This window comes from Homo sapiens, chromosome 5 (genome assembly GCF_000001405.40).
Source record: "Homo sapiens chromosome 5, GRCh38.p14 Primary Assembly".
Classification (NCBI taxonomy): Eukaryota; Metazoa; Chordata; class Mammalia; order Primates; family Hominidae; genus Homo; species Homo sapiens.
Genome location: NC_000005.10, coordinates 141255945 through 141277759, shown reverse-complemented (window position 1 = coordinate 141277759; position 21815 = coordinate 141255945). Strand labels below are relative to the sequence as shown.

The 21815-nt window shown below is 40.2% G+C and overlaps 1 long non-coding RNA gene and 1 pseudogene across 1 annotated transcript; one reads left to right on the top strand and one right to left on the bottom strand.

Annotated features, from left to right (window-relative positions):
- On the top strand, positions 9002 to 17536 carry LOC105378199 (uncharacterized). Its single transcript, XR_001742473.1, has 2 exons — positions 9002 to 9291; positions 17269 to 17536. It is a non-coding gene; the product is annotated as an uncharacterized LOC105378199 (long non-coding RNA).
- LOC100419552 (zinc finger protein 57 pseudogene) lies at positions 17459 to 18525 on the bottom strand (annotated as a pseudogene).

Below are 21815 nucleotides of genomic sequence, written 5' to 3'. Positions count from 1 at the left end.
AAGCATGGTGCTGGGATCTGCTCACTTCTGAGGAGGCCTCAGGAAGCTTTTACTCATGGCAGAAGGTGAAGTGGGAGCAGGCACACCACATGGCCAGAGTGTGAGCAAGAGAAAGAGAGTAGGGGAGGTGCCACACACTTTTAAACAACCAGATCTCACAAGAACTCACTAATTATCACAAGGAAAGCACCAAGCCAAAAGGGATCTGCTTCCATGATCCAAACACCTCCCACCAGGCCCCATCTCCAATCCTGGGGATTACATTTCAACATGAGATTTGGGTAGGACAAATATCCAAACCTTATCAGTTTGTTTTTAAGGTGAGTAATTCTCTCTTGCCTGTGATATGGCCTTGCTCTAGTACATCAGGACCTGAATTGTAGGTCTTCTTCTCTGACTTGCCATAAATCCCATATAGCATTTTTTCTCACTACTTGTAGCTTTAATGCAATCCTCCTGGTCCTCGAAGGGTAAGGACACTTGGATTGCAACCTGGACCTGCTGCAGCGCCCCTTCCTTCATGGGATACACCCAAAGCAGGCAGCCTTTTGTATCATTTAGTCTACAGACAGAGGCAGTATTCCCAGGTGTGGCACAATTCTACCACGTGTTGTTTCTACTTTTTGTGGCTGAAGTGCAAAATGCAATAATTTATCTTTTACCTTGGACGGGATACTCTTGGCCACTAGACCCCTAAAAATGTTACTGACTTGAAATGCACCTGAAAATTCATAGGACATGTCTCCCAACCTCTAAAGTTCATGTGTGATATCAAGACCTCCACTATGCTAACCATTTTTGCTTACCCAGCCAAATTGGCATGATGTCATTGATAGATCATTGTGAAAATCTTTAGAATACTCAAATAATCCAGATCTCTTTGGACTGCACTTGATAGAGGGCAGAAGAAATAACATAGGCCTGGAGCAAGATTGTAATTGTGTACTATTGTCCTTTTCATGTGAATGTGAATTGATTTTGATCCTCTTATAGGAAAAGAATTCATTTGCCAAATCAATGGCTACATACCACATAGCAAGCAAAGATACATCTGATATGAAGGTTGCTATTGGAGATACTACTTAGTTAAGTTTGTGGTAGTTTATTGTCATCCTACAGGATTTATCTGGTTTTTGGAGGAAACAGACCAATGAATTAAGTGATGACACAATGGAGACTATATCCATTAGATACCTAAAGATGGCATTAATTTTTGCCATGCCTCAGGATATAATATCAGTTTTGATATACTATCTTTCCAGGATTGGGAGAATTCCCTGTTATGATAGTTCTTACAATACAGCAAGGACCAATGCGAGGTTGTGTCTTAAGAATGTTTACCCCAATTATATATTTGGAGATGAGGAAAATGACTACTGTGCGGGTCTGTAGACCCAGTAGGTCCACTATGAACTGCACTTTGATGAGGAATTCATTTATTACCTTATCCATAGATGGCTCCATTCTAAATGGGCCCATGACACTTTGGATCTCTATCTTATTGTCAGTTTGGCCCTGTGTCTAACAGTCCTTGAGGTGTTTGGATATACTACTTTTCCCTGTGAACAGTTTTTTTTTTTGTTTTTTTTTTTTTGTATTTTTAGTAGAGATGGGGTTTCACCGCATTAGCCAGGATGGTCTCGATCTCCTGACCTCATGATCCACCCACCTCGGCCTCCCAAAGGGCTGGGATTACAGGTGTGAGCCACTGCGCCCAGCCTGTGAACAGTTTTACAAGTAAATGGCTGTAGGTACATTTGGGGGAGGACAGGGGGAATCATTACAGTGTACCCTTGCCATATGTTGTACAGTCCTTTGTCCTAGCAGCCCAGTCTCCTCTTCAATCAAAGGGTTCTGAGATGGAGTTTTTTGCTCTTGTTGCCCAGGCTGACACCGCAACCTCTGCCTCCCAGGTTCAAACGATTCTCCTGCCTCAGCCTCCAGAGTAGCTGGGATTACAGGCATGCGCCACCATGCCTGGCTAATTTTTTTTGTATTTTTAGTAGAGACGGGGTTTCTCCATGTTGGTCAGGCTGGTCTCGAACTCCTGACCTCAGGTGATCCGCCCACCTTGGCCTCCCAAAGTGCTGGGATTACAGGCGTGAGCCACTGTGCCCGGCCAATCAAAGGGTTCTGTTCTGAAACTGGCTGAGATCAAGAAATTGGGCAAGAGATTGTGGCTTTTATTGGAACAGCTGCCCTTAACCAATGAATCATCCATCCTTTATCCCTTCTGACAGTTTAAGGTGAATAATAGCCTTATCAGCTGTCCATCTATCATGCCTGTAAGGGAAGCCATGTTCTACTATCTCCACAGCTCTCTATGGATCAAGAACCCTTGGCTACCACCTCACATTTGCCACTCAGTTGCATCCCACTAAATTTTGATAGTTAAATGCTGCTACCTGACCTTTATTTTTTTTTCATACTACTGTCATTCCCATGGCTATCAGTAAGCCTGGTTCTATAATGGTGTCTCCTATTGTCAGTCATGATCCACAGAGAGTAGCCATCACTGAATTAATTTCTTTCTTTCTTTCTTTCTTTCTTTCTTTCTTTCTTTCTTTCTTTCTTTCTTTCTTTTTCTTTCTTTCCTTCCTTCCTTTCCTTTCTTTCTTTCTCTTTCTTTCTTTCTTTCTTTCTTTCTTTCTTTCTTTCTTTCTTTCTTTCCTTCCTTCCTTCCTTCCTTCCTTCCTTCCCTTCCCTTCCCTTCCCTTCCTTCCTTCCTTCCTTCCTTCCTTTCTTTCTTTCTTTCTTTCCTTCTTTCTTTTCTTTCTTTCTTTCTTCTCTTTCTTTTTTTTTTTTTTGAGACGGAGTTCGCTCTGTCGCCCAGGCTGGAGTGCAGTGGTGCGATCTCGGCTTACTGCAAGCTCTGCCTCCTGGGTTCATGCCATTCTCCTGCCTCAGCCTCCCGAATAGCTGGGACTACAGGTGCCTGCCACCACACCCAGCTAATTTTTTGTATTTTTAGTAGAGACGGGGTTTCACCATGTTAGCCAGGATGGTCTCAATCTCCTGACCTCGTGATCCGCCCACCTCGGCCTCCCAAAGTGCTGGAATTACAGGCGTGAGCCACCACACCCGGCCTCACTGGATTTCTTAATGATGTTTGTGCCATTCTCCTTGGTGCCTTACTTATTGCTTTGGTAAATGGTGTAAACTCTAGGACTTCTCATGGGTCATAATTATCTAGTGGATTTTCTGGCCTTACATAGTTGTGATGGCTAATTTTATGTGTTAACTTGACTGGGCTAAGGGATTTCCAGATAGCTGGTAAAACATTATTTCTGAGTGTGTTTGAGGGCATTTGTAGAAGAGATCAGCATCTGAATCAGTAGACCGAGTAAACAAGATCCATCTTCACCAGTGCGGGCAGGCATCATCCAATCTCTTGAAGCCCTGCATAAGACAAACAGGCTAAGGGGGAGCGAATTCTCTCCTTCTCTTTTTTAGCTGGGACATCCATCTTCTCCCACCTTTGGATAATGGGGCTACTAGTTCTTGGGCCCTGGGACTCTGGGACTTATGTCACTGACTTCCCTGGCCCTGAAGTTTGCAGTCAGCAGGTAGTGAGACTTCTCAGTCTCCATAGTTGTGTGAGCTGATTTTCATAATAAATCGCACAGCCACCCCCTCTACACACTTCCCCCTATCGTAGGTTCTGTTTCTCTAAGACCCCAAACTTAAGAATGTAAATTTTCCTAGGCTTTCTAATCTCTTCCTCTACTGTCTGCCATGAGAATTCTGGTTATTTTGATTTAACTTAGTGTGTGCCATCACTTTTTGATGCTTCTAGAAGTCATACTAATAGTGTTTATTCCATATAAATGCTTGTCAGAGTGTTAATTCCTATGTCTCCCAAATCAATAAACTCTTATCTAATCTTATGCTCCAACTGCCTTAATTGAGCAACCTCAGAATCCAGTACCAGGAGCATTCCCCTGGCTCCTGCTGGTATATGCTATCTAGGACTTGTAGCTCTTTTAGGGTAGAGCTCTTTTACTCCCTCATTAGGCTTAGCATATCTACAGGGTTATGCTGTGAGCTAACTCTACGTGAGTTTAGTGGCCGAAAGGGGAGGTAGAGGCAGATTTTGAGGGTAATATATATTGTCTTATAGGGAAGAAGCCTCTGCATATCTTTGAGGAAAGGGCTATCTTTTAATAAGGAGGAGTGGACCACTTCTGCAGGCTCACAGGGTCAAGGAAAATCTTGAAATTAAAGATGCAGGGGATATTGATCCCTATATTCTCATCTTATGACTCAGGATACCATCTTTTCCCAAATGGAGCCCTCAGTCTGGCACAGTAGACTTGTCTAGGAGTTAACCTTATCAGGAACTTAGCTAATCTGACAGTTATATATCCTGGCCTTGTCCTCAGCTTTCTCTGCCCTCCTTCTGTAGGAAATAGAAGCCTCTTTTTACTCCACCTAGGAATCATGCTGGCTTTTATGTCTGGCTTTCAATTTCTGTTAATTACTCTCAAGTCAATTGAATTTGGCCATAGACACACATTCCCATTGTCCATATGGCTACTTTTTGCTGACTGTTTCTCAAATGCCCTGTAGATCGAAACAGTTAATGCATTCTCTTCCACTAGCGGAATTCACTATCCCAGTTCACCACCAGTGAAAATTTTAACAACTGGACTGCCACCTTGTGGCAGGAGCTGTGTTCCACCTACTACTAGTTATAGGGCCCTTATTTGCCAGCTGAGAAATGATTCAGCTTGAAACCCCCATCTTATTGCCTGCTTTCTAAGACAACTCCCATTACCAATAGTTACATAATTCCCTGGGAAGCAGGCTACGAGATGGAGTTTATTGAAAAAGATGTTTATTAGGGTGTACCCTTGGGATTACCACCAGTTGAAGAAAAGGGGAAGGAAGTAGGCAGAGGGAAAAGTCCAACTATGATGCAGTTCCTACTATAGCCTTGCTAACCCCACCAGGAGCTTAGAAGCCAAAATGAACCTTTAGAGTTGTTCCACATTGAGCCAACATGGCTGGAACTTCATACCTTTGTCTTGATCTGCCATTAAATGCAGGATGCCCCAGGAAGGGCATGACCTTAGATGAGGCAGATGTGTGTAACTGAGGACATCCCTGAGGATTCTGACAGCTGAACTCTGTCTACTGATAACACTCCTAGCACTTAGGCAAAAGGACCTCCTTGAAGATGGATGGGGTGGTACATCTCCATGTCCATTAAAAACATTTTTTAGGCTGAGTGCAGAGGCTTACACCTGCAATCCCAGCATTTTGGGAGGCCGAGGCAGGAGGATCACTTGAGCCCAGGAGTAGAAGGCCAGCCTGGGTAATATAGTGAGACCCCCATCTCTACAAAAAAAACCCAAAAAATTAGTCAGGCATGGTGGCACGCACCTGTGATTCTAGCTACTCAGGAGGCTGAGGTGGGAGGATCACTTGAGCCCTGGAGGTTGAGGCTGCAGTGAGCCATGGTCACACCACTGCACTCCAGCCTGGGTGTCTCTGTCTCAAAAAAACCAAACAAAATAAAATGGGGAAAAAAGCCTTTGTTTTTCCCCACAGAGCTCAGGGAAACATTTACTTATGTTTACTGGTTTGTTATAAAGGATGTTCCAAAGGATACAGAAGCGATGCATAGGGCAAGGTATAGGAGAGGAGGGGAGCAGAGCTTCAATACCCTACCAAGGCACACCACCTTCCAGGAACCTCCTAGTTTGCCAGGTTTGCAGCTATTCAAAAGCTCCCCAAACCCTGTCCTTTGGGAGTTTTAACAGAGGCTTCACTACATAGGCATGATTGATTAAACCATTGATCATTGGTGATCAACTTAACCTTCAGCACCTCTCCTCTTCCTGGAGGTTGCAGGGTGGGAAAGTCCTAACCCTTTAACCCTGTCTTAGTCTTTTCTGTGACCAGCCCCCAATTCTGAAGCTGCCCAGGGGCTTCCAGCCACCAGTCATCTCATTAGGATACAAAGACATCACTCTGGAGTTTCTAAGGATTTTAATAGTTGTATGCCAGGAAATGAGGTCAAGGGCCAAATACATAATTCATGATATCACAGTCTACCTCCGATGTGTAATTCCTTACTTAAAAAGACGTACAACTCAAAAGACACTGCCACATTACTAGAATCTTATTCAATTATTAATAATTAGTTCAGTCCATTATCATATTGTATGAATTTGTATCCCAGGGTGAGGCCACTCAAGTTTGCAGGATTTTCATTGATCTTATCAGGTTCTAAAAGCAGCAGTGGTCTTGGCTTCACCCTGTAAGACACCTGGTATAATTGAACTAAGAGACAATGTCATCTCTTGCTCTGAGCCTTTTTCAAGGTGTTAATGTAATGTGATACTAGATTTATCTGAATTCATAACCCATTTATTCCTTTATTCTCAGCTGCTCTTCTTTCTTCACTTCATTAATAAGCGTTGCAAAGGACATTAGAGTCAACACTGTGCTGGTCTAGATTGTAGGCATCACTACTGGTAATTACCTTCTCCTTAGTCCATTTCCATTCAGATAGGCTAAGTTTATGTAGGTGCCAAATTATTGCACCATTTTTACCACCAGGCAGTATAGCTGCATTCACTGTTAACCCCAATTTTGCACAACCCACTCCCATCAGGCCCTTAGCAATTCTGATATGAGGCTTAAAAACGTATTTACAGTTTCTTGTTTAGAAATCATCCCTGCTTCCAGTACTTGTAGTTACAGCTCTGGTCCTAGAACGACTTTTTTGATCAGAGGAGCAGCCTTCCAAACAGGAGGTTGCCCACTCACCTTGGAATCTTGGAGCTGTCATCCACAAACTCAGCAGTTGTTGGGTGGTTAGTTGAGAGCTGTTTATAGGGCACTGTGCAAGTGTTGACAGAACCCAGCAGCTCCTCAGTTTTATAGTCAGTACTTACAGTGGCTTTTATCTAGTTCACTAGGCTGACTGTTCCCTCAGGAACACTCCTATGTGCCTGGATCACATATAGCCATCTGCAATTGTTCAATAGTGAGTTGTGTGCCCTGCATCGACCCAAATATGCCCTTCCACTCTGAAGCATTTAAAGCCAAATAAATTTTACCAATGTGTTATGAAGAATATTACAAAGGATACAGATGAAGAGATGCATAGAGGTATGGGGAAAGGGGTGAGGAGCTTCCATGACCTTTGTGGGAGCACTACCCTCTAGAAGCCTCCACATGTGCAGCTATCTAGAAGCTCCAAAAACATTAAAAAAAGTTTTAAATTTTAAAATAATTTAAGACCCAAAACATTTTTAAAAATAGTATGAGTTTCCATTTGTCCTTCCCTCACAGCTTCCTCAAAAGTTAACATCTTATCCTCAATGTAAGAAATTATCATTGATACAATTAACTAACCTGTAGACTTTATTCAAATTTTGCCAATTGTTCCACTAATGTCCTTTTTCCGGTCTAGGAATCGGTCATTAACTTCTCCTTAACTTCTTCCAATCTAGGACAATTTTCCAGTCTTTCTTTAGCTTCTATGACCTTAACACTTTTTAAGAGTGCTGGCAAGCTATTGGTTAAATGTCTCTTAATTTGGGTTTGTCTGATATTTCCTTATGACTAAATTTTGGTAGTACATTTTTGGCAAGAATAATACAGAAATGATGTGCAGTCGTCATATCAGGAGATATGTCAGGTTAATGTTTCATACTGGAGATGTTAACTTTGGTTATTTGATAAAGAGTTTGTCTCCACTGTAAAGTTACTGTTTGCCGTCTGTAATTAATAAATATTATAACAATATCTTTGTAATTAACAAGTATCATATGAGGAACTGCTTGGAGAATGATCTATTTCTTAACAGGATAATAGTTATTTACTGAAAAGGTAGGACTATGTTCCAAATCCCAGAGGCCCACGCTGTAATTCTCTTGTTAGGGAATGTCTTGGGCTTCATATAACATTCTGCTATAGTAGACACTTTAAACATAATTTATTTTTTCAGACAGCGTCTTGCTCTGTCGCCCAGGTTGGAGTTCAGTGGTGTGATACCGGCTCACTGCAACCTCTGCCTCCTGGGTTCAAGCAATTCTCGTGCTTCAGCCTTCCGAGTTGCTGGGATTACAGGCCTGTGCCACCACACCTGTCTAATTTTTTTTATTTTTAGTAGAGATGGGGTTTCACTATGTTGGCCAGGCTATTCTCAAACTCCTGACCTCAAGTGATCCACCTGCCTCGGCCTCCGAAAGTGCTGGGATTACAGGCATGAGCCACTGCGCCCAGCGTTAAACATAATTTTATCTGCTGAGTCATAACTCCCAAGTGGTGTTCCTGTTCTTAATGCATTCTGGAGTACCTGTAGAGCCTTCTTTGATTTGGAGTTCAGTTTAAAGCTGGCAGCCTTAACAGTGACTCAGCAAAAAGATCAGAGAAGGATGCCAAAAGATAACATGTTGCCTCCAAAATCAAGAGGCTCACCAAGTTTGCCTTTTTCTTCATGGTAGGGAGTGTAGGAAGGGCAGCAGCAACTTGTTTTTCACTTTCTTGGAAATATCTTAACATGCCCTAGATTTCTGAATCCCCCAAAACTTCAGAGAGGACAGTTCCTTAAATTGTTGTGGGGCTTACTTATCTCCTCTTCTGCCATACATACGTCTTACGAAGGCATCTAGGGCACATGTTACTTGCTATTGAAGAGGTACAATCAGCATGATCCCATTAGCGTGCTGGAAAAATGTGATGTCCTATGGGATGGTGAGATAATTAGAACCTTGTATGACTCTCAGAGGAGCAGGAGCACCCCTAACATTTGTGATACCTAGGGCAAGAATAAAAATAGAGATTTATTTTCCCAGCTACTCGGGAGGCTGAGGCAGGAGAATGGCGTGAACCCGGGAGGCGGAGCTTGCAGTGAGCCGAGATAGCGCCATTGCAGTCCGGCCTGGGCGAAACGAAAGAGCCAGACTCCGTCTCAAAAAAAAAAAAGAAAAAAGAAAAAAAAATAGAGATTTATTTTCCTGAGTCTTTGTTTTTTTTTTTTGTTTTTGTTTTTTTTTCCTCTACACTATTGAAACTGTGCCCCAAAGAGTTAAAGAAACCAGTAACTAACAGAAATTCTTGAGTTTTCATAATGGCAGATAAGAAACAACTTGCTGAAACACTGAGACTCCCTCTGCTTAAAAGAAATGAACTGGCTGAAATCGGTTGTAACCTAGATAGATAAATGGAGTTTGCACAGAATGAGCTTGCTGAGATCGCAGCCTGAGTTTCCACCACAGGTTTCATACTAACTCCCCCGAATTCGCACAAAGACCCTTGCGGAGGCATGAAGAGGTAAGTGCACATGCCCAAGGACTTCCCATGCCTCCCCTTTCCTTCCGCTAATCACCGCTCTCAGAATCTGCCCCCTAAATCTTTTCTTTTTCTTTTCTTCCTTTGTTTCTTTTTTTTTTTTTTTTTTTGAGACGGAGTCTTACTCAATCGCCCAGGCTGGAGTGCCGTGGTGTGATCTCCGCCCATTGCAACCTCCACCTCCCGGGTTCAAGTGATTCTCCTGCCTCAGCCTCCTGAGTAGCTGGGATTACAGGCGCACGCCACCACGCCTGGCTAATTTTTGTATTTTTAGTAGAGGCAGGGTTTCACCATGTTGGCCAGGCTGGTCTCAAACTCCTAACCTTAGGTAATCCACCCGCCTCGGCCTCCCAAAGTGTTGGGATTACAGGCGTGAGCCACCACGCCCAGCCCCGTAAAGCATTTCTAACAAAATTACTGCCTGAAAGCCAGCATGGGAAGACACTTGACGTTTACTCCTGTCTCCTTGGGAATCCATTTTCTTTCCTTTGTGTGTTTGTTGCTATAACAAAGACTTTCAATATAAAGCTTTTCTTTTCTCAAAAATGCAGTGTCATATTATTGGCTTCTAGCATATCAGGTAGTGAGTCCCTTTTGCTGGATAACATTATCCTAAGGCATTATTAGCATCTTAATTTCCTTTGTTAAATTGTGGCTGTCATTGAATTGAGTCAGCTGACCAAAAGAACTATTAGAGATAATCATGTGAAAGCTTGAACACTGAATTCAGAATCTCTGGCAAACGAACCCACCTAAATTCAACTCAATCTAAAGGTTTTTTCTTTGTTTTCTGTTATAGCATACTCAGTTCTCAAACATATTCCTAAGGTTTCTGTGATGTAGTTAGCAAAATTATGCAATTCTTTCAGTATATATGCCTTCTAATATTGGGACTGGCTTTGTGCTTGTCCCCATTGAACATGCTAGGATATGAATCTAATTAGAGGTCTAGAGGCAATGAGAGTTGGCAAATGAAGGGCATGGAGAAAATTAGCAACCCTTTGCAATGTAACTGTCTCAGCTGAGGTCATTACAGACTATGCATGCAAAGAGGACAGTCTTATTAAAAAGGAAAATGAGTTTGCTTCTGCTGGGATAAAAAAGGGCTCAATTGGTTTGGGGATTCAAGATACAATCACATCTGAATTCACCTAGCTGTCCCCATTCCCATTCTAAGGATACTACTCTTTCTGGATCAATGCTCTAGCAATTTCATTAAAAAACATGCAGTGGTTGTGAATTCAACTTTGTAATTATTTATCAACCTGAAGAATCAGACTTTTTGTCTGATTTTTATCTATGTAGTCCTGTAGCCGTGGGATAAAAGAGATGTTTTTAAAGCAATCATTAAAATATTTGATTTTCATATCTTTCCTGACCCAAGAATTTTAAAACCCTAAGTTCGTTATTTTCTTTAATTGAATTCTCGATTGCAGTCAAAAGTAATCACCACATCCCCTGAACCTTTCTCTTCCCCACCATAATGCTTTGGTACACCAGCCACTTTGCTTACCAGAGAATTACCTTCAATAAGCAATTAATTCCAGACAAACACAAGTGATAACCTGAGTAAATGTTTTGCTGTTGCTTACCAGGGACTACCAATATCTTATTTTCTAGAGGATATGGGACTATCATTGCCTTTGATCTATCTAGGTCATATAATCTATCCTAAATTTCATTCTTCGGTGTTTGTTGCCTGCAAATTCTGGTACAAAATATATTTTTGGGGCTCAGGGCACATAACAAAAACAACTCTAATCAGTTTAAGCAGAAAAATATTTAACAGAGATAATTAGATTTTTATAGCATCATTGGAATGTGTGGATAAGTGGAACTCAGGAACTATTGAGTTCCAAGAACAACTTGCTACACCTGTGACCCAGGGTTAGTAGGCCACTTCTACTGTTGCTACCACCTCTCAATACCCACACAGTTGCTCCTAGATACAGGAACACTCAATCTGGCTGTTGCTCCTGGTGACACTGGAATGCTGAACCTTCCTTCCACAGCTACTTCTCAACCCTTTGCTTGTACAACCAAATGCAGCAGTATAGCAGATGCTATTGATGCCTGTCCTATATTCCCTTGGCCCACCTCAGAGTTTACCTGCAGTTCAATGAAAACTTTTTAGCAAGCTTACAGCAGCTTCTCTTGTGATATGGTTTGGCTGTGTCCCCACTCAAATCTCATCTTGAATTGTACTCCCATAATTCCCACGTGTTGTGGGAGGGACCTGGTGGGAGATAATTGAATCATGAGGGCAGTTTCCCTCCTACTGTTCTGGTCGTAGTGAATAAGTCTCATGAGATCTGATGGTTTTATCAGGGATTTCCACTTTTGCATCTCTCTCATTTTCTCTTGCCGCTGCCATGTAGGAAGTGCATTTCACCTACTGCCATGATTCTGAGGCCTCCCTAGCCATGTGGAACTGTAAGTCCAATTAAACCTCTTTTGCTCCCTAGTTTCAGGTATGTCTTTATCAACAGTGTGAAAATTGACTAATACATCATGTCAAGCACTTTTGTCTTTCTACTTCTCTTCCTGGGAGGGATTTCTCTGATGCCATAGGAGCTTGCTCTGCCCATTCACATTGCAATCTGGAATTTCCAGAAATTTAATGCCCTTAGGGTTAACACTCAATGAAAGATGGAAGGTGAGATCAGTCTACCACTAACTTTCTGGTTCTTTGATGGGACAATTCTACAGTATGTTCCACACAGTTCCTCATAGAGTTCCCTAGCAAGATTGAGGCCCATGTATTCACAATGGTAATCTGCTTATTAAAATAATAATTTTTAATTTATTGATGTTTCTCCCTTCTTTTTCTCAGTTTCCACACTTCCTCACTGGTGCTTCTCTAGATAACTTTTTAAATAAATTAATTGCACCTAAGTCCTTGTCTCTAGGTCTGCTTTTGGGAGAACTCAACAAAGATAGCAACTTAGAAAGCAAATTCTAAGGATGGGATTCTGAACTTGAATTACTTGCTGGTCACATGGCAGCAATCCAATTCTGGTAGAAAGTGGGGTTGTGATAATCCCTGTCATGCTGTAGCATCCCACTTACTAAGATTCTCACCTGTGGAGGATTGAAATGAGCAACAGGTATAACTACTGGCTTATGCAATAGCTTCTGCACATGACACAAATGGAAAAAATTGTAATTGAAAGGATTGTGAAGTTTGCTTCTTTTTTCTACTGACCATAAGCCCTGAATATATAGCATGATTAGCTCAAATTATCCACCTATCAATTTAGAGAACACTGTGAAAGCCAAAGGCTTTCCATGGAAAAATTTTAAAAGACATCTCTTTTCTACAGCTGGAGGGCTAGATGTACTGAAAATCAGGCTCAGTATTTGAATGTATTAGTGCCAGAGCTACAAAGCAGACTGAAAACACAACGATCTAAGTTTTCTTTGTTAAAGTTAGAATCCTGATAGGAAAGAAATATTCCACATACTCTGAGTCCTGGGATGAGGACATTTGGTTGGATGTACTTGAGATACTTATATTCTCAGATTCCCTTGAACTCTTTCTAGCCATGGATCCTCCTCCTTTCTAGGGAAATAAAGCCTTTCATTGCTTGGAGATAATGTAATGCCTTCATCTGATATTAATGCCTTACAAGATGAAACTTACCCTATTCAAGACCTGTCCCCACTGCTTTTATATCTATAACTAAGGTTAAATAATGACGTGAGCTGGAAAGTACAATTCCTGCTCATGAGAAAAATAAATCCTATTCATTAGAAAATAAAATTTAGGCCAGGCACAGTGGCTTATGCCTGTAATCCCATCACTTTGGGAAGCCGAGGCAGGCAGCTCACAAGGTCTGGAGATCGAGACCATCCTGGCCAACATGGTGAAACCCTGTCTCTACTAAAAATACAAAAAAATTAGCTGAGCATGGTGGCATGCACCTGCAGTCCCAGCTACTCAGGAGGCTGAGGCAGGAGAATTGCTTGAACCCGAGAGGTGGAGGTTGCAGTGAGCTCAGATCGTGCCACTGCACTCCAGCCTGGTGAGAGAGCGAGACTCCGTCAAAAAAAAGAAAAGAAAAGAAAATTTAAAAAAATTATATTCACTAAAGAAACTACAAGGCATGGCTAATATGTACCAGCAGAAACATGGGGATTATGCTTGGAAATTAATATTGAACATAAATGTGTGTGTGTGTGTGTGTAATATGCTGCTGGATAGAGGAGTGTTTAGGGTACAAAGGTACTCTCTCTTGACTTCAGATTTGTACTTCAGAATTGCCTCCTGGCAATGACACCTATGATAAGAACTAATACATTGCTGGGTTGGCCTCTTGAAGCTTGGGCATAATGATGGACTACAATAAACGAGTTGGAGTTACCAGAACTACCTTGGAGAGTACTGAAGGGGTCAGAAGCGTCAAACATATTAGAGTGGATTTATTAGATGACACTAGAAAAGTCATCTGCAGAGTCTTTTCTTTGGGAGAGTCCATAGATTTTCATACATTTGTATGTATTTATTTATTTTGAGATGGAGTCTCGCACTGTCGTCCAGGCTGGAATGCAATGGCACGATCTCAGCTCACTGCAACCTCCGCCTCCTGAATTCAACCAATTCTTCTGCCTCAGCCTCCTGAGTAACTGGGATTACAGGTGCCCGCCATCATGCCCAGCTAATTTTTGTATTTTTAGTAGAGATGGGGTTTCATCATGTTGGCCAGGCTGGTCTTGAACTCCTGACCTCAGGTGATCCGCCTGCCTCGGCCTCCCAAAGTGATGGGATTACAGGCATGAGTCACCGTGCTTGGTCCATACATTTACTTCATTCATGCAAATAAGGATATACTAATGAAGGGGCATTCGTATATTTTTATTTTTATTTTGTTTTATTTTGCATTTCGTATGTTATCCAGTTTCACATTCTCACAGGATCAGCAATGACAACAGCCATTTAGTCTCCCAAGTCTGAAATGGCAAGACATTCACAGCTGTGGCTGACTACGTAAAGCACTGATATGCTCACAAAACAAAAAACATTGCACAATATTTCCTTCATTTCATTTTTCTTAAACAAATACCTGACAGGCTTATGCTGAAGAATGGAAAACCTTTTCTTCTTCCTGCCTCAAACTTAACATTAAACTTATGTGACAGAATGAACAAGGTCACTTTAACAATTAATGGTACACACATGAAAAATCTTTTACGATGCATAAATATTTTGTTGCCATGTTGCCCAGGCTGGTCTTGAATTCCCAGCCTGGAGCAATCCTCCCACCTTGGTGTCTCAAAGTGCTGGGATTACAAGTGTGAGCCACTGTGCCTGGCCCATTCAGAATTGTTTTAAAGACTTTCTATATATCTATTATGTATCTAAATTCAAATTTGCTCTTTTGTTAATATGATGAATTACTTTACATTGATTGTTTTAATTTAACACATACTACATTTATTATTTAGGGGTTTTGTTTGGTCTTGAATAACAGAAAACTCCCAAGATATGCTCCACAAATCAACAAGGTGCTGATTTTTCTCCTAGGAGAGTCCAGAAATAGGTAGGGCAAGGATGGTGTAGCTACTGAACAATACAGTAGGGGAATAAGGTACTTATTTGTTCATTTTTCCTGAAATAGTGTATGACTTGGAGAAACAGGGCCTTGAGAAGTATTATGGGAACAACATGCTCACCATAAAAATTAGACTTTTGATAAATGTCAAGAAAATGGAGTCAGAATATTAAAGAAAGCCTTTAATCCTGAAATTCTGCAACAGTGGTATGAATAAGCAGGTTTAAGCTTGCAAGGAAATTCAGGCAGCTATGCCTGTCTGGTCACCAAAGTGAGGTCATGAAAGATGACAAGCTCATAGCGATGTTTGTGGAAGCTATCACTTGTTTTTTTGTTTTTGTTTTTTTTTTTTTTTTTGGAGACAGGGTCTCACTCTGTCACCCAGGCTGGAGTGCAGTAGCAGGATCTCGGCTCACTGCAACCTCCATCTCCCAGGTTCAAGCAATTCTCCTGCCTCAGTCTCCTGAGTAGCTGGGATTACAGGCATGCTGATTTTTGTATTTTTAGTAGAGATGGGGTTTCACCATGTTGGCCAGGCTGGTCTCGAACTCCTGGCTTCAAGTGATCCACCTGCCTCAGCCTCCCAAAGTGCTGGGACTACAGGTGTGAGCCACTGTGCCCAGCCTGGAAGCTACCACTTCTGAGGGAATTGAAGTTAAGTGCTTAGGTGATTGGCTCAATGCTAATGTTGTTCAACAGAGCCAGTAATCAAAAAGACATGCTTAAAGTTTGGAACTGATGGGTACTTCTAGATCTGTTTGTCAATCTGCTACTGCCACATCCTTTTGAGATTTATGGCTTCCATTTTATTTCTTCATTCCAAATCTCACTCAGTTTCCTCTTTTGTTCAACTCTAACCTATAAACCATAGACAAAGAGGATTCTGGAAAATGTATTTCTAAGCCATATAACACAGTCCAGCACAATCATCATTACCTGTAACTTTCATCGACATGGCTGCAAGGTCCCTCTTTTCAACTTGAAGGGCTGTGTTCAACTTGAAGCAGTAGCAAAATACAGAAGGTTAAATAATCAGGTCAGAGGTCAGATGAAACTGTCCTTTTTCAATAACTGCATATTTTTAAGTTTCTATCAACTATATTGACCAAGACAATTAGTTGTAGAGTACACTCTCTGCAAAACTCTGCTGAAGATACCTCTTTCACCAGTGAAGTTGAAAAATTCTAAGTTTTCTTAGTAAGGAAGAAGGGCAGGGTAGATATCAGCTAAGGAAATCCTAGGATCTGCTATGGTAAGCCAGAAAAAAGAAACCTCCAAAGTACCAAACTCAATAGCACAATGACCACTTGCATTAACTATAATGAAATTGAATTAGAAACAATAAGAAAATAAATTTTAAATTATTTTATTTCAGCCTTATAGGTCCAAGGAGACTTCACAATGGAAATTAGACACTTAATAAACGATAATAAAAATAATATATATCAAAGTTATGTGAGATAGCTGAAAGGGTACTGGGAGCAATAGTTATCATCATAAAAGTTTTTATTAGAAAATAAAAACTAAATTATGAGCTGGGTTCCACTTCAAGGATGAGATACTAATAAAACATTTTCATATTTACAAGATTTTAAAGATTTGTCTTCTGGTGTCAATTTTATGTATAAGAAGAGATATATCTGAACACCTTCCCACATGAATTACATTCATTGGGTTTCTTTCCAATGTGAGTTTTCACATGTCTTTGAAAATACGAGGAAAGAAACTAAGGGATTTTCCACATTCTTTACAGTCGTATCTCCCAGTATGAGTTCTCACTTGCTGACTAAGGCATGAAAAAGACTTGAAAGTTTTCTCACATTCTAGGCATTTATTTTTTTTCAGTATGTGTTCTCACATGTTTTCTAAAGTGTGAGGGATTACACTTTCCTACGTTTCTTCCACTTGCATGGTTCCTCTTTAATGTGAATTTTACCTCAATTTGAAAAAATTAGACCCAAGATAAGATTTTCCTACACTCCTTATACTAATAGAGTTTCTCTCCAGTGTGAGTTCTCACACTGTTTTGTAAGGGATGAGGAATAGCTGAAGATATTTCTGCATTTCATACATTCAGTGTGTTTACTAGTCAGGGTTCTCCAGAGAAACAGAACCATTAGAAGATAGATAGATGGATAGATAGAGAGAATTTATTATGAGAATCAGCTCACATGATTATGGAGGCTGAGAAGTCCCATAATATGCCATCTGCTAACTGGAGAACCAGGGAAGCTGGTGGCATAGCTCAGTCCAAGTCTGAAGGCCCAAGAACCTGGAGGGCCACTAGTATAAGTCCCAAAGACCAGAGAACCTGGACTTCTTATATCCAAGGGCAAGAAAAGGTGGGTGTATCAGGACCAGAAGGGAGAGCAAATTCACCTTTCCTATCCCCTTTTGTTCTATCTAGGCCCTCGATTGATTAAATGGTGCCCAGCCACGCTGGATGAGGCCTGATCTTCCTTACTCAACCTACGGATTCCAATGTCAATCTGTTCTGGACTACCCTCACAGATATATCCAAAATTAATGCTTTACCAGGTACCTGAGTATCCTTAACCCAGTCAAATTGACCCATAAAGTTAACCATCACACAGTGTTTCTCCAATGTGTATTATCACATGAGTGGTAAAATATGAAGAATAAATGAAGGATTTTTCATATTGTTTACAATTATAGAGGCTGTCTTCGGTGTTTGTTCTCACATTTCTATTGAAAGAAGAGGGCAAACTGTATACTTGCCCATCTTTCTTACATGCATAAAGTTCCTTTTTGGTTTATTTTCATTTGAACAGGAAGTTTTGAGGAATAAATGAAGGCTTTTCTTCATTCTCTATATTGATAAATCCTCTCTCCAACGTTAGTTCTTACATGTACAGCAAGAGATCTGGAAGAAATCAAGCCTATCTCACATTCTTTTATATCCATAGGGTAAATTACAATATGAGTTATCACATATGCCCTAAAGGATTAGGGGCAACTCAAGGTTTTTCTACATTTTTATGTTAATAAGATTTCTCTTCAGTGAGAGTTTTCACATGTTTTCTAAAAGATTAAAGAAAATTGAAAGCTTTTTCACATTTCTTATACTCATAAGGCTTATCTCCACTGTCTACTGTGAGTTCATTTTTTTTTTTTTTTTTTTTTGTGAGACGGAGTCTCGCTCTGTCACCCAGGCTGGAGTGCAGTGGCATGATCCTGGCTCACTACAACCTCTACCTCCTGGGTTCAAGCAATTCTCCTGTCTCAGCCTCCTGAGTAGCTGGGATTACAGGTGCACGTCACCACACCTGGCTAATTTTTGTATTTTTAGTAGAGATGGGGTTTCACCATATTGGTAAGGCTGGTCTTGAACTCCTAACCTCAGGTGATCTACCCGCCTTGGCCTCCCAAAGTGCTGGAATTACAGGCATGAGCCACCGTGCCCAGCCCACTGTGAGTTCTTACATGTACATCAATAAATGAAGAATGAACAAAGGCTTGCTTACATGTCTATTCATAGAATTCTTCTCCAGTGTGAAATTTTTCATGATTCCTAAAATACAAGGAACACATAAAGGATTCCCTCTATTCCTTACTTTGATAGGGTATGTGTTCAGTGTGTGATGCCATGTGTGTTTTTAACAAGTGAAAGATCAGTGAAGACTTTCTTGCATTCACTGAATTCACATAATTTCCCTGCAGCATGAGTTCTCTAGTGCACATTTAGATTTGAAATCTGGCTGAGATCTTTTCATGTTTATTACTCTCATTATATTTGTATCCAATTTGGAGTATTTTCTACAGAGTAGACATCAAGATCTTTTTGAGAGATTTTCAAATTTGATTATATTCATAGAGGTTTTCCACCATATGAATTCTCAAATATATGTCCTGTGTCTTGTGCTGATCCATCTATGTCATGGCAAAAGAATGAGGATTGCATAATTGGAGGTTTTTTATATTGTAACTTAAGTAGTATAATACTAATTGAAGGTAGACCATGATAAGAAAAGGCAGTATATTGTCATCCTTAGAAGAAATACTCCTGAAACTGTTGTAGCTAAAAATTCAAATAAGGATATAAAATGGAATATGAAAAATATTTAATCAAGTCAAAAGAAAACAGAAAATGAGGAACAAAGGATTTCAAAGGAAAACAGAAAATGGGGAACATAGGAATGAAAATGGAGGGTATGAATAAAATTGCAATAGAGACAATCATGTTATAAATAATTACATTACATATAAATGGAATAAACTCTCCAATTAAAAAGCAAACATATTAACACTGGATAAAATGCAAGATTTAATGCTATGTTGTTTTAAAAAGATGCTTTTTAAATATAAATACAGGTTGAAAGTAAAGAATGAAAAAATATATCATGCAAACCTTAAGCATAAGACATGTAGACTGACTATATTAATATCAGACAGAGTAACTAGAGACTAAATGAGACATTTTATAATAATGAGCGTCAGTTCATCAAGCAGCTATCCATTGTGCATGTAATAACAGAGCTTTAAAGTACATGAGATTAACAAATGATAGAACTGAAAATAAATAAAAAATTCACAACAAACATGCTGGAGAGGATGTGGAGAAAAAGGAACACTTTTACACTGTTAGTGGGAGTATAAACTAGTTCAACCATTGTGGAAGACAGTGTGGCTACTCCTCAAGGATCTAGAACTAGAAATACCATTTGACCCAGCGATCCCATTACTGGGCATATACCCAAAGGATTATAAATCATGCTACTATAAAGACACATGTATGTTTATTGCAGCACTATTTACAATAGCAAAAACTTGGAACCAACCCAAATGTCCATCAGTGATAGACTGGATTAAGAAAATGTGGCACATATACCCCATGGAAGACTATGCAGCCATAAAAAAGGATGAGTTCATGTCCTTTGCAGGGACATGGATGCAGCTGGAAACCATCAATCTGAGCAAACTATCACCAGGACAGAAAACCAAACACCGCATATTGTCACTCATAGGTGGGAATTGAACAATGAGAACACTTGGACACAGGGTGGGGAACATCACACACAGGGGCCTGTCATGGGGTGGGGGGCAGGGTGGGCATTGGGAGAAATATCTAATGTAAATGACGAGCTAATGGGTGTAGCAAACCAACATGGCACATGTATACCTATGTAACAAACTTGCATGTTGTGCACATGTACCCTATAACTTAAAGTATAATTAAAAAATAAAAACTCACAATCACAGGTGAAGAATTTAACACTCTTCTCCTAATAACTGGCAGAACATGTAGAAACAATGTTAAGAATAAAGAAGATCTAAAAACATTATCAAGTGACTTGATTTAATTGATATTTACAGAATACTCAACCAACAACTGTAGGTTACACATTTCTTTCAAGTACACATGGGGAACTCACCATGGTAACTTACATGCTGAATAATTTTTAATGACTTCATAAATCTCAAAGGGTTGAAATTTTACAGAGTATGCTCCAAGACCAAAAAATAATTATTTTGGAAATCAAAAATGTTACCTTTGGATAGTTGGAAATTAAGCAACACGATTATAGTCAAGCAATGGATCAAAGAAGAATAGTACAAACTGAATGGCAATAAAAACACAAACTAGTCAAGTTCATGAAATGCAACTTAAGTAATATACAGGAAGAAATTTATAACTTCATATTTTTATATATTTTCAAGTGTGTTAGAAAAGAAAGGCTTAGAATCAATGATCTGAGCTTTCAGAGAAGCTAGAAAAAGAGAAAACTAAACTCAAAATACATAGAATAAAAGAAATAAAAACAGAATAGCAGAAATCAATAAAATAGGAAACAAAAAGGAGTCTAGAAAAGGTAGCTCACACGTGTAATCCCAGCATTTTTGAAGGTTGAGGTGGGAGGATTGCTTAAGCTCAGAAGTTTGAGGCCAACTTAGGCAACATAGTGAGGCACTGTCTCTACAAAAATAAAAATAAAAATAATTAGCTGGATTTGATGGCATGCACCTGTAGTCCTAGCTGTTCACGAGGTTGAGGCAGGAGGATCTCTCTTTCTCTCTTTTGTGTGTGTGTGTGTGTGAGTGATGGAATTTTGCTGTTTCGCACAGGCTGGAGTGAAGTGGCGCGATCTTGGCTTACTGCAACCTCTGACCCCCGGGGTTCAAGCGATTCTCCTGCCTCAGCCTCCCTAGTAGCTGGGATTACAGGTGCCCGCCACCATGCCTGGCTAATTTTTGTAGAGATGGAGTTTCACCATGTTTGCCAGGCTGGTCTCAAACTCCTGACCTCAGGTAATCCATCTGCCTGGGCCTCCCAAAGTGCTAGGATTACAGGTGTGAGCCACCATGCCTAGCCTTAGGAGGGTCTCTTGAGGCTAGCAGTTTGATGTCACAGTGAGCTATATCGCATCACTGCACTCCAGCCTTTTTTTCTCTGAGAAAAGGAAGAAAACAGAAAGTAATAGGAAAAGTAGTGAAACCAATGATTGTCTTGTTTTTCAAAATTAACAAAATTGGTACATTGACAGAAATACCAATAAAGACAAAAAGAGGGAAAACATAAATTACCAATATCCATAGTGAAAGGGGGAGGGCCTCACTGCAGATTCTAAATATATTGAAAGATGAGAAAGAAATAGTATCAATAGCTTCATGAAAATAACTTCAACATCTTTGATAAAATAGACAAATTTGCTTAAAAAACACAAGCTGCCAGCTGCCGACAGAAGAGGAAACAGAAAATTAGAATTGCAGCATATTTATTTAAGAAATTGAGTGTGCAATTCAAAATCTTCCCACAAAGAAAATGTCATTCATGGTTGGGTTCTGCAGTAAATTCTATCAAATACATAAAGTAGAAATAATAACTATCTTACATAAACTCTTTCATAAAAGAAGAAGTGGAGGAAACAATTGGCAAGTCATTTGATGAGACCAGGAGAACCCTGAAACTAAATCCTGACAAGGGTATTACAAGAA